The 12995-nt window shown below is 36.9% G+C and overlaps 1 protein-coding gene across 10 annotated transcripts in view; it reads right to left on the reverse strand.

Annotated features, from left to right (window-relative positions):
- Positions 1 to 12995, reverse strand: part of DST (dystonin) — a 496835-nt gene that overhangs the window by 108259 nt on the left and 375581 nt on the right. For all 10 annotated transcript variants that reach the window (NM_001144769.5, NM_001374722.1, NM_001374736.1 and 7 more), the window contains 6 exons: positions 12560 to 12683; positions 7425 to 7633; positions 6493 to 6810; positions 5846 to 6012; positions 3602 to 3758; positions 2215 to 2341 (listed from right to left, as the gene is read on the reverse strand). In NM_001144769.5, the coding sequence (NP_001138241.1) occupies positions 2215 to 2341; positions 3602 to 3758; positions 5846 to 6012; positions 6493 to 6810; positions 7425 to 7633; positions 12560 to 12683 (1102 nt within the window). The remainder of the gene's footprint in view (positions 1 to 2214; positions 2342 to 3601; positions 3759 to 5845; positions 6013 to 6492; positions 6811 to 7424; positions 7634 to 12559; positions 12684 to 12995) is intronic.

Raw genomic sequence — 12995 nt, forward strand, 5'->3', positions numbered from 1 at the left:
CTCCTGCAGCTAGCTTGGTGTCCGCCCAAATGGCCACCCAGTTTTGTGCTTGAAACCCAGAGCCCTGGTGGTGCAGGCACCCGAGGGAATCTCCTGGTCTGTGAGTTGCGAAGACCATAGGAAAAGTGTAGTATCTGGGCCAGAATGCACCATTCCTCATGGCACAGTCCCTCACAGCTTCCCTTGGCTAGGCAGGGAAGTTTTCCGACCCCTTGTGCTTCCGAGGTGAGGCAACACCCCACCCTGCTTCTGCTCGCCCTCCGTGGGCTGCACCCACTGTCTAACCAGTCCCAATGAGATGAGCTGGGTACCTCAGTTGGAAATGCAGAAATCACCCGCCTTCTGCATTGATTTCACTGGGAGCTGCAGACTGGAGCTGTTCCTATTCAGCCATCTTGCCAGCCACCTCTCACTTTACTGTTAAAATTATCTTAATGATAAAGGTCCTGAAGCTCAGAAGGTGCTCAGTATATAAGTGTGTTGAACAATGCATACATGACTGACAAAAGAGCATCTGCCTTACTTAAAGATTGAAAATTGTCTGGTGCAGTTACATGGTGTTATCATGGGCTTAATGGAGGCAGAATAATTTTTTTAAATACATAAAAAAGAAGTTGAAAGTGAAAAAGAAAATAAATCGATTATTAAACTCATATTACGTCAACACTAAGAGAGAGCATGGTGGTTAGGAGTACCTAGGTCTTGCTGTATAACTTACCTAAATTTAAGCCCCAGCCTCACTAATTACTAGCCAGGTGACTGGACAAATCAATCAGCCAAACTGATGGGAATAATAATACCTAACTGTGGGAACCAAACACCACTGTGGGAACCAAAGGTCCATTGCTTAGCAAGTAGAAACTAGTCAGTAAGCAGTAAACTAACAGTTCACTTTTATTACATAACAATCTAGCATTGGTACTTTTTCATAATCAGAATATTAAAATATCAGTTAGACTTTCTCATACTAGTATCTATCGGCTATGTATCCAAAACACAAAGACATTTCTCAGATCAAAAACATAATAACAAGTCTAAACAGAAACATTAAAATATCTGAATCTTAACTTTGTCCCTTTAAAAAAAATTAAACATGATGGGATTTCAGATGGAAGTGAAAATATCCTGTAGATGCTCACTACTAATTCCTACCATGCTTGGTAGTTACCAAGAGTAAAAAAAAAAAAAAAAAAATCCCAAAGCAACAGCAACAACAACAAAAAAAACACTTGATATTTATGGCAAATATAAAGGGGACATGAAGAGCTAAAATAAATAAAGCACAGTAGAATTCCTCTTCTTAAAAAAAAAACAACAAAACTTCACACTTCAGGAAATCTGATTAGAAGAAAAAGGAGAAATCATCACACCATTATAATATGGGTAGTCCCTGAAATAGGATTAATAGAGTGGAATAAATGGTTGGCTGAGAAGGGCCCAGCTGGAACATCAGTATCACAATAGGGACAGCTGGGGGCTGGTCAGACTAGATACCCCACAGAGGATACTCAGAACTCTCAGAAAAAAGATATCAGAGCTGCCTTCTGCCCATTATTTTTTTAAAAAAACTTGTTACTGTATGTTTCAAACTAAAAACTATACCCATAACTTGCTTAAATTAATTTTAGAATCAATATTTACACATGAATCTCCCATTTTATTGAGAAAGGTGGCTCAACCATGACTTAGATTGCGATACAGATATGCCGGCTCACATACTGCATAATTGTTTTCTTTGGGAATGATGTACAGAATAAAATACGCAGGAATAAAATAACAGAGTGCCCACGCTATAGAAAAGGGCCTATTTCCTTCCCTCACTTCTTTCCCAGCTGCCCAGACTCATTTCTTTATCAAATATTATAATTAAATATTTTAAATAGAATTTCAATATCTCCATTTAATTAAGGTAAAAAGCAAACAAATTTGAATATGATCTGTTCCCTTCCCCAATATAACATTCCTTATTCTTACATATTAATTTAGCTACATTTTAAATACAGTCTAATAAAATAAAACATAAGAAGGATTTGAAATTTGATTAGTACAGATACATTCCCAGCACAGTGTGCTTACAGATGCCATGTTTCTTGTCACTTTCACTTTGTATTTCTGAGGTTATTTTATGCATTAATTTAAAAAATAACATACACAAAATTGACATGAGTAAACCTGATTCTTAGTTTTTGCCATAAATGTAAATAAAGCTCATACCTGATTTAACTGCTGCTATTGCCTTTGCAGGGGTGGTCACAGCACTTATTAAGTTACATAGTGAGATCCCACTGTTGTTTACTTTCTGAATCTCTGGTGTTTTTAAACTCCACTTTTCTTGTAATTTCTTGAGATATAAAAACACATTATTTTTCCATCTTAATATTTTCAGAGTTGCACATTATAATTCAGTTTCTTAAACATATCTTAAAGTAGTAATAATTGTAGACCCTGATTTGTGAGGGAGTCGATGAAAGAAAAAGGCACCTATTTGTTCCCACAGCCCAGGTGACTGTTATCTCAGTTAACGGTTGGGTATGTATGGCCCATTCTGCCTTCAAAGGTTTCAGAAGTGGCAAGTAAAATCCTAGCCAAAGTGGGAGTCAGGCTATTCCTGGCTGCTATGGGTTCCAAAATAACTGTCAACTGTAAGTCTGTAAAACTGTACTAGGTAAGAGACCAGTCACAAATAAAAGGTACTAGGAACAATAAAAATAAATAGGAATTCAGAACTTCATTTTACAGCATATTTTAATCCTAAAAATTTCAATTACTTTTAAAAACACACACACGGTCGGGCGAGGTGGCTCACACCTGTAATCCTAGCACTTTGGAAGGCCAAGGCAGGTGGATCATGAGGTCAGGAGATCGAGACCATCCTGGCTAACATGATGAAACCCTGTCTCTACTAAAAAAAATACAAAAAATTAGCTGGGCGTGGTGGCAGCCACCTGTAGTCCCAGCTACTAGGGAGGCTGAGGCAGGAGAATGGCGTGAACCCAGGAGGCAGAGCTTGCAGTGAGCCAAGATCACACCACTGCACTCCAGCCTGGGCAAAAGAGCAAGACTCTGTCTCGAAAAAAAAAAAAAACAAAAACACACACACACATCCACAAATTTGGAATGGGGGAAAAAAAATGCCATATTGGTCAAGGCATAAGCCTTGAGTCAGAAGACAAAAGACTTGTGCACTATTTATGCAGGAGATTCAAATAACTTCTCTTTCCAAATACTCTTTATAGTAATATATACAAGCTAGAGTAAAATGCTGAGTGAAGAGGATGTTTTGCTTAATATTATGAGAAGTGGTATAAAAAATTACTGAAACTAAGTAGAGATTTGGTAGGAAAGGAAACTTGATTACTAGAATAGTCAGCAACTCATTAATTCACCTTTTTTTAAAAAAGCAAATCCACTGAAAATTTATGTCCTTTTCCAAAAGAATTAGTTAAGCCCCATGCCATGATTTCCAAAGGTCAACAAAATATACAGTACATATATGAGGATAAAACTTAGATGATATTAGATCAAAGAAAACTACCATTAGTCTTTTAATCTTTCATTATTGACACAAATGGAAATTTAGTATTAGATAACAATGATTCACCTTAGTGTCTTCCAAAGATTTTCCTAAATCCTCTGCACCAAAAGAAGGCTGTACAATGGGAACTTTTTTTGTTGTTTCTTTTATCCATGACTTCAATGATTTAACAAGAACTTGGAAAGCATCCAACTGTTCTTGACAAGAAGTTACAGCTTCTTTTCTACATAACAAAAATCATACAAGAATTTAAGTCACAGAAAGAAGAATAAATAAATTATTATTCTCATGTCACACAATGTTAAGAAACCATCTTCCATGTACTCTAACCCTTTGATACAGGAGGAAAGGTTTCATAGGTGACAACTGAAATCAGCTAAATCAGTAGTCCCCAGCCTTTCAGGTACCAGGGACCAGTTTCGTAGAAGATAATTTTTTCCACAGGCCAGGGAGGGGGGATGGTTTTGGGATGATTAAATGCATTACATTTATTGTGTGCTTTATTTCTATTATATTTACATTGTAATATATATTAAAATAATTATGCAACTCGCCATAATGTAGAATCAATGGGAGCCTGAGCTTGTTTTCCTGAAACTAGGCAGTCCCATCTGGGGGTGATGGGAGATGGTGGCAGATCATCAGGCATTAGATTCTCATAAGGAGCATGCACCCTAGATCCCTTGCATGCAGTTCACAATAGGGTTCCTGGTCCTATGAGAATCTAATGCCTCTGACGATCTGACAGGAGGCAGAGCTCAGGCAGCAATGTGAGAGATGGAGAGCAGCTGTAAATACAGATGAAGCTTTGCTGCCACCACTCACCTCCTACTGTGCAGCCCAGTTCATAATAGGCCATAGACCAGTAGATACCTCAGGGGTTAGGGGACCCCTGAGCTAAATAACTGTTGGTCTATTTTTCAGGCAAGGTTCATTGATAAAGATAGGAGTATTCAAGAAATCTGTAGCCCATATGTAATGGCACTCTCTATAATGCTACATAAACTCTAAGAATACACAAACAGTTTGAACATTATTTACATTCAATGAGCTTTGATCTGTCCCCTTTATGTGATGCTGAATGCCGGCAGGCACAGAACCAGAAGGGAAAGGTTGACAATCACTGACATGAGGAAAACATAATGCCACCTACTGGTTTCTACACTATACTACAGTCACGTTTATGGATGGATAAACTGCTGCAGGTAGTCCAGATTCAAGTCTCCCAAAATGAGTTGAAACCTAGTGACTAGAGAATTTTCATGTGTGCCTCCCCTACAGAGACTCAGGAAACTCCCTGGTGAACTGTATGGGTCGTTCTGTATGCTCTGCACCACGGAGGCAGTGCACATGCCCAGCACATGAACAACTGTGAGGACAGTTACATCTGGCATGTGGATGACACGTACATATATGCAAGCGTGCAGAATACTGGCAGATAAGAATGCACTGCAGCTGGACTAATACTGATAACTACATTATTTTAAAGTTGGACCCATTTGAAAGAAGAAACAACCTAGAGATCACCTAAGAAAACCAAGAACATTTCTTCTACGCAATGTGAATTAAATACCATATGACAGGATGGAACATATAGCTCTGTGAGAAGTAAAGGCAGCACTCAAACATTTTAGGTAGAGAATTCTGAAGAAATAAAGAACAGTAGTTGGAAGAGAAATGACTTTTCTATGTTCTGAGGCTTTTCTACATAAACTTTAGCAAAATCCGATGTATATTCTAAACTAACGTGAGATCAGAAACACAAAAGCTCAATCACAAGGCCCTGTACAGCTTTTTAGCTCAACTTAGGTTCATTCACTTGTTTCTAATAGTGTTTTTTCACAGGTTCATATCTCATCTACTGCTCTTTAAAAAGTAAACTATTATATTAAAAAGGCCATATTGAAATTGCACATCGTTTCTGAGTTGAGCTCAGAAAGCAAAGAACCACGAGCTGTTGTTCAAGGTTATTTCTGCCTTTGCAAATAAAAATGTGATATTTGCCCTAGGCTTCAGAGACTACAGCAAGTTTAGATCATTTTCAGTAATATACCACCGCCATCGTTTTTCTTATGCAACATTTTCCACTTTTATGTAAGAAGTATTGAATTTTCCTTCTAAATGTTAAACCAAATAATGCAGTTAACTTTAATAGCAAAAAATGATCAAAATATAAAAACATCTATAAAGTAGCCCTATGCTTATTCTCAAGTTTTCAAAATTGTTTCAGTTATCTATATAAGTAAATACAAGTATCTCACTCTAATTAATATAAATAGAATAAAATATAATTTTTAAAGTGGTACTTACTTTTCTTTGATGGTATCCTCCATTTCCTTGAATTTCTTTGACAAATTATTTGTTTTTTCAAGGACCAAAGCCTTATCACTTGGTAAGCCATGGCTGGATATCTCCTTCAAGAGACTATGCAAAACTTCAAGATGTTTCTTGTGTTCTAAAAATTCAGAAGTTGATTCCTACAAAGCATTAAGATATTCAGTCAATATAAATGTTGCTAGATCTTCAAATGGCATTCCATCCAGAGGTCTGTGCGGGATCAGAATGGCTCTATTCATAATTTCACATAAGAATGAGTCTGCCTATGGCCAGTATTCTAAATATAATAAACATGCATATAGGCTATTTGAAAGGGAACACAGTAAACCTTATTTAATTTAAAATGCATTCTATATTTTGTCTCTTTGTGGCTTCTGGTACGTAAGATGATACTTATACTACCTATGATACATGTGATAAATGATATTTATTTCCAATCAATCAGCAAAGGCTTCAAGGAAAAGATAAGGTTTGAAATTCTTAAAGGAGTAAAACATAGATCTTTACTAATCTATAAGCAATTAAAATGATTGCCAATTATAATTCTGGCACTAAGTATATGAGTTTGCCCTAACTATTAATCTATCTGATTAGCCTCCTGAGTAGTAAGGGAGGCATACCTGCATATACTGAGACAATTCAGTAACATCTTTTCCTGGCACATCTACTTCAGTAAGAGCCTGAGTTTTTGTTTCTAAAAATGTCTGGAGCTTTTCTGAGAGGTTCTCAAACAGTTCTACTTTGGTTTTTAGCTCCTCCATTTTGGCAAGAGTTTCTTTGTGTTTATGACTTGCTTCTGAAAACCGAGCAGACAAGTCTTTCATTTTGGCTTGCAGTGAGGATGCAGTGGATGGATCTGTTGTTTCCATAAATTTCTTCACTTTTTCATTCATGGCATTTATACTGCTCTGACGACCTGCAATATCCTGTTCCAACATCTAAAATAAACCAAATATTGCATATCTTTTATTATGATGCTTATAAATAATGTGACAGAATTTTTTTAAATGACTATTCCTAACAACATAAGCTTGCACAACCTGTGCCTAGGAAGGTTAACAGTTGAAACTGAATGACAAGTTTGGTCTGTCCCTTGAGGAATGCCATCTTAAATCTCTCTGAGAGAGTGAAGAACAGCTGGCTAGTTGGTCGAAAGAGGCAGGAGGCTGCTGCTACTCAGCAACCCCTAGAATCTAATGGAGCCTGGGGATTAGCCATGGTCCTAATTCTTAAAAGACTAGACAAGACTGATCTGATTAACCTCATGTGCAGCTGGCTGAAACAATGATAAACAAGATAAGACTCAATGTATGCATAAGCCCTCTATAATGAATAATATTCAAGAAAAAGTACACAAAGTCCTTCCTACACTTCTTCACAGATAAACCATTTTACACACTTGATTTTGTGCAAGCATTACTTTCCACACTCATATTCAGTAAATGTCTCTTTTTTGTGTCCTTAAGTTTATCTTAAATCTAACTACACTTTGAGCTTATAAAACTGTTTTTTTAAAAAACTGAAAATGGGACTTTTTTTTAAAGTCACTTACAATGTTTTTACTGATAATATCCTGAAGAGCAGTAGAGTTTAAAGGCACTTGACCTTGTTCTTTCAGAGAACTTTCCACATTTCCCATCCAGTCCAGCATTTCATCCAAGCCATCCTGCACACTCAGTGAACGGGTCAAGGTTATCTGGAGTTTTTCATTTCGTTCATTAACAGACTTGGACAGATCCTCATATCTCCCAACAATGTCATCTACTCCAAACAGATCAGGAATATTAACCACAAAGTTCTCTTTGCCCTATCCCTTTTCAAAAACACATGAAGGTGAATCATACAATTTCCACACAAAAAATTTAAAAAATAAAAAGTTCAATGATAAATTCCTAATGCATAATCAGAACACCACCTAAAATGTTAAAATATAAAGAAAGAAAAGAGCCCAATGGATACTGAAAATTGAAATCTTTTTTTAAAAGTTAATATATATCCCATCTGCATTTGAAAAGAGATTTTTTTGGATGCATAAACATTTGAATTGTCACAGAGAGACAAAAGAGTAGTCCGAACAGCAAATCTTTGAAATAAATACTGGTTCTCAATCTGACATTTCACATTAGCCATACTTATTGAAAATTACTTTCGGAGGAAAAAAAGGTGAGTCACACACAGCCATTCTCAAGACAATACACAGTTACAAAGATTTCTGAAGAATTAACTTTTACATATAAAAATTATCACCCTATCTCCCTCCTTCATACACACGCATGCTAAGCTTTTGTCATACTTCACAACTTAAGCAAATCACTCAAATGCACAGAAACTGGCAGATGCAAGTAATTAAGAAAACAGGCAACAATGAAAATCCATTTAAAGTTAAGATTATGCTTCTAAAATATACACTAATTGAATTTATTTAAAAGTTTAACAGCAGACAAAAGAGAAAAATAAACAGGCTAACCTATCTCATATGAGGATAAACTTTATCTTCAATTCTAAAGATTCAAGATGCTAAAAAAAAAAACCCTTTCTCGTCCAGTTTTCACTTGACTAAAGCCCTACATGTTAACATCCTACATTCTATATTGTAGACCAATGAAAAGTTTGAACAATGGTTTTTAATGTATTCATCTCTTTCTCTCTGGAAAATGATGTTTTAAATTTATTTATCACTTATTGTCCGAGAATTTGAAAAATATTTTAATTATTTCTGAATGCTTTAGTCTTATACATTGTAGAACGCTTCAGTAGGGACAAGCTGTGTCCTGAAACATCTCTAACATCTTACTGACTTGTATTTGGCCCATGAAACATAATCTATACAACAAAATAATATAATTGTTCTAATGCTACAACATGAGAAAACATCTTGAAAATTTTCACTGGAGTGAGAGGTTAAGTTTGGATGATTTAAAGAGAAAATCATGCTCCTCTTACTAAAACTCAATGAAGCCCATCAGCATACTGAGTGGGGAGGGAGACAGCATTTAATATGCACGAAAATGCCATCGGCAGAGGAAACAAGCAGTGGGTTCAAAAATAAGCTCTCAACAATAGATGCTGGAAACTACTAGTTGGGGGAGAGGGGTGGGAAGGTAAGGGCTGAAAAACTACCTGTTGGAGACTATGCTCATTACTTGGGTGATGGGTTCGATCATATGCCAAACCTCAGCATCATACAATATACCTTTCTAACAAACCTGCATATGTACCCTCTGATTCTAAAATAAAAGTTGAAGAAAAAAAATGAGCTCTAATTTGGAAACTCACAAGAGCACATGCTCTGAATGGCAGCTTGAAGTTGGCAGGTTAGCGACTTCTTAATTGGGCAACTGCATCAACAGGGTAAGTAAAATGAGTGACCTGTTCAGCCATAATAAGTGACTTTCGAAGGAAAGCCAGCTATTTTCATATAATTAACAGATTTGAGTGTTAGTTTGCTATAGACTAAATGTGTCCCCCAAAATTCATATATTGGGGCCAAAGTCCCAATGTGATAGTGTTGGGTGCTGGGGCCTTTGGAAGATGTGATATTATCATATAATAAGAAATATTTGGTCTCTGGCCATAGCTCTTGACATAGAGTTCCTAAAACCCTTCTGATTTCCTCAGTAATACAGACACTAAGAGAATCTTTTGTTCTGATATTTGGTCGTTGACCTCAGTTCCTGACATAGAGCTCCTAAGACCTTTGTGATTTCCTAAGTGACAGGAGTGTATGGCAGAGCTCCTAAGTCCCTTGGAATTCCTTCATGAGGGGCATCTTTTGTTTGAATGAGGTGACGCCTGGTGGCCTCCTGGATAGTCTTAGGGTAGGGGGAGCAGGGGACAGTGGCAGATGTTGCCAGGGAATCAACCATGTGATTAGACAGTTGGAACTGTCACCCTGTCAACCTCTGAGGAGGGAAGAGGGGCTGAAGATTGAGCTGCTACCAATGGCCAATGATGTAATCAATCATGCTTATGTAATGAAGCTGCCATAAAAACCCAATAGGATTCGTCTGGGGAGCTTCTGAATAGCTGAACACATGGAGTCCTGAGCATGGCATGCCCATAGAGGGCACAGAAATTCTGCTCCCCTTCTCCCATACCTCACCCTGTGTATCTCTTCCATCTGGCTGTTCATCTGTATCCTTTGTAATATTCTTTATAGTAAGTGGGTAAATGTAAGTAAAGTCTTTCTCTGAGTTCTGTGAGTCACTCTAGCAATTAATTGAACGTGAGAAGGGTCATGGGAATCCTAATTTATAGCTGATCAGTCTGAAATACGGATCACAATTTGGGACTTGTGATTGGTATCTGAAGTGGGGGGCAGCATTATGAGACTGACCCCTTAACCTGTGGGGTCTGAAGCTAATTCCAGGTAGACAGTGTCAGAATTGAATTGAACTGAATTGAATTATAGGACATCCAGCTGGTATCTGTTGGAGAATTGTTTGGTGTATGGGGAGAAATACACACACATCTGGTCACAGAAGTGTTCTGTGTCATGTTCAATGGTGTATGAGAGTGAGTAGCAAAAAGAATCAGGTTTCCTCTCTCTCTGAGGAGGTAATTAGGTCATGAGGGTAGAGCCCGTGTGAATGGGATTAGCGCCCTTAGAAGAAGAAACAGGAGAGAAATGATGTCTCTCCACCACTCTCTACCAGCAAGATAGTGGCCATCTGTAAGCCAGGAAAAGGGCCCTCACCAGAACCCGACCATACTGGCAGCCTGTTCTCTGATTTCCAGCCTCCAGAACTATTGGAAATAAATGTATGTTGTTTAAGCTACCCAGCCGATGCTATTTTTGTCATAGTGGGCTAAACGAAGACACTGTTTAGTTTGCACTTCTTAGTGATAAAATATTGTCACTGAAGTAAATTCTTCATTTTAGTAAACTAAAAAATATTTTAGAAAAAGGTACAAAAATCTACTGTAAGAATGTTATTTTTTTAAATCATTGGTTTTCTTAGAAGTCAGAAAGATCTTAGAGAAACTCCTCTATACCTTAAATAGTTTCACATATTTCCTAGAAAATTATGCCAGAAGTTTTAGTTTTAAAATAATGTAACAAATGAATTTTAAGCAACTAAAAGTGAAACTATGTACACTTAACAATAAGAAAAAAATGTCAAAATGCCTCTTCGAGTAACATAAATACAAATAAGATAGTCTTTCTTTCTCCTTCATATCCTTATACCCAAGTCCTCACAGCAATGGTATCTAATGTGGATATATGAGATGCTGCATTGGGACAGAGGAACAAAATGTTAGAACTTCCATTCATATTTTCATTTTATACTTTAAAACTCTATATTTTTGTGTTTTATAATTATAACACATAGAATAATACAGTAATATGTTCACATGACTTATACATACATCTGCATATATGGGGATGCAGGCTGAAGATCATTTTTGACAGGGGTACATAATAAAAAACATCTGGATACATGTAAGAATGAAAGACAGGATTTCCCTTTTACACAGTGATCTTAAAAGAGCTAAGTTCCATTCTTCTCTTCAAATAAAATTTTGACTCAGATTTTAATTCATGCTCTATTTAGGGTAAAACATATGTCTAATCATCTGTTGTGGAATATTTTTACTTCACATATTCACACACAGAAATACACAATAACATTAAATATTGTGAAAAGCAGGGCAGTGAAAACAAAAAATACATATGTAAGATAGTAAAAAATATGTATTGATAATCCACTGCACATTTGGTATAAACTAAATACTGTGGTTAGATAGAAAGATAATATACAATAGCTCTTTTCTCAAGAAACACATTAATCACAAACTCTTGGGCTTAAATGATCCTCCCCAAATGTTGGGATTACAGGTGTCAGCTTTTGCACCCGGCCTGAGAGATGTGCTTTGAGAAGTCTTCCCACTTCTCTGTGTTCTAGAAGTTTTTTAGTGGCCTCACTCAAATTGAGAGCTCAGTTACACCAATTCTTTAGTGATACTAGAAACTTGATTACAGCTGTAGTGCTACTTTTGTGCACAAAACATTTGGGGAGGATCATTTAAGCCCAAGAGTTTGAGACTAGCCTGGACAATACAGTGAGACCCCATCTCTACAAAAAAAATTTAAAAAATTAGCTGCACATGACAGAGCATTCCTGTAGTCCTTACTTCTCAGGAGGCTGAGATGAGGAAGACTGCTTGAGCCCAGGAAGTCAAGGCTGCAGTGAGACATGATTGTGCCACTGCACTCAGCCTGGGCAATAAAGTAACCCCTGTCTCTAAAAATAAATTCAATTCAATTCAATTAAGCACATTTCTCAACCTCTTAAACCCACGTTCCCACTATTGATAAAGACCCTCAGAGATTCTACTTTGGCCTTAAGTTGAAGGCCTAACTCTGCCCAATCCCATCAACCAAGAGAATTTTGTGAAGTTCTACTTCCTGTGGTGGACATTACATAGCGAGTTCCTGTTATGTTTTCTAAATATCAAATTTAAATTTAAATATACTCTTTTCAAGACACATAGCCCCCGCCTCTAAGATTCTAATATACCTGCCAAAGAAGGCATGCCTTTTCCCAGATGCAGGAACACCATTTCACAGAGAAAGAGCACATAGAACACAATCTATAACTAGTGAACATTTTTCTCCATATCTATTAGGACACCTTTCTTTAGAATTTACCTGTGAGACAGGAAGCAAGGACATGAATATCTTACCAAGTGTTTTCTGGATATCATTCTTGGCTGGAAGTAAAGATCCCCTGGCATCTAAAAGCACTTCAGCCGTTTTCTTCAGTTTCTCTACAGCAACCTGCTGACTTGATATCTGTCCTTGCAAAGCCTGTAGGATTAAACGCTTTTCAATTATACTCAGCAGGACTAAATAATAGATTTCTAATGTGGAAAAAATGATTTCTAATAAGATAAAGTAAAATTGGACAGAATAAACTTTTCATCATACCAACTTTCATCATCAACTTACTCCAGAGTTCTTCGAATAAGGCCAGTTATAAAGCAGCATTAGCAAAAGCATCAGCCAGTCTGGATAACACAAATTAAGTTTTGAAATAAACCTTTGAGCATATGTTCATAATAATTTCCCTGGTTCCTGATCATACAACCCTCTAACTTTATACCCTTAACCCCTACTTCT

This window comes from Homo sapiens, chromosome 6, assembly GCF_000001405.40.
Source record: "Homo sapiens chromosome 6, GRCh38.p14 Primary Assembly".
Taxonomy (NCBI): Eukaryota; Metazoa; Chordata; class Mammalia; order Primates; family Hominidae; genus Homo; species Homo sapiens.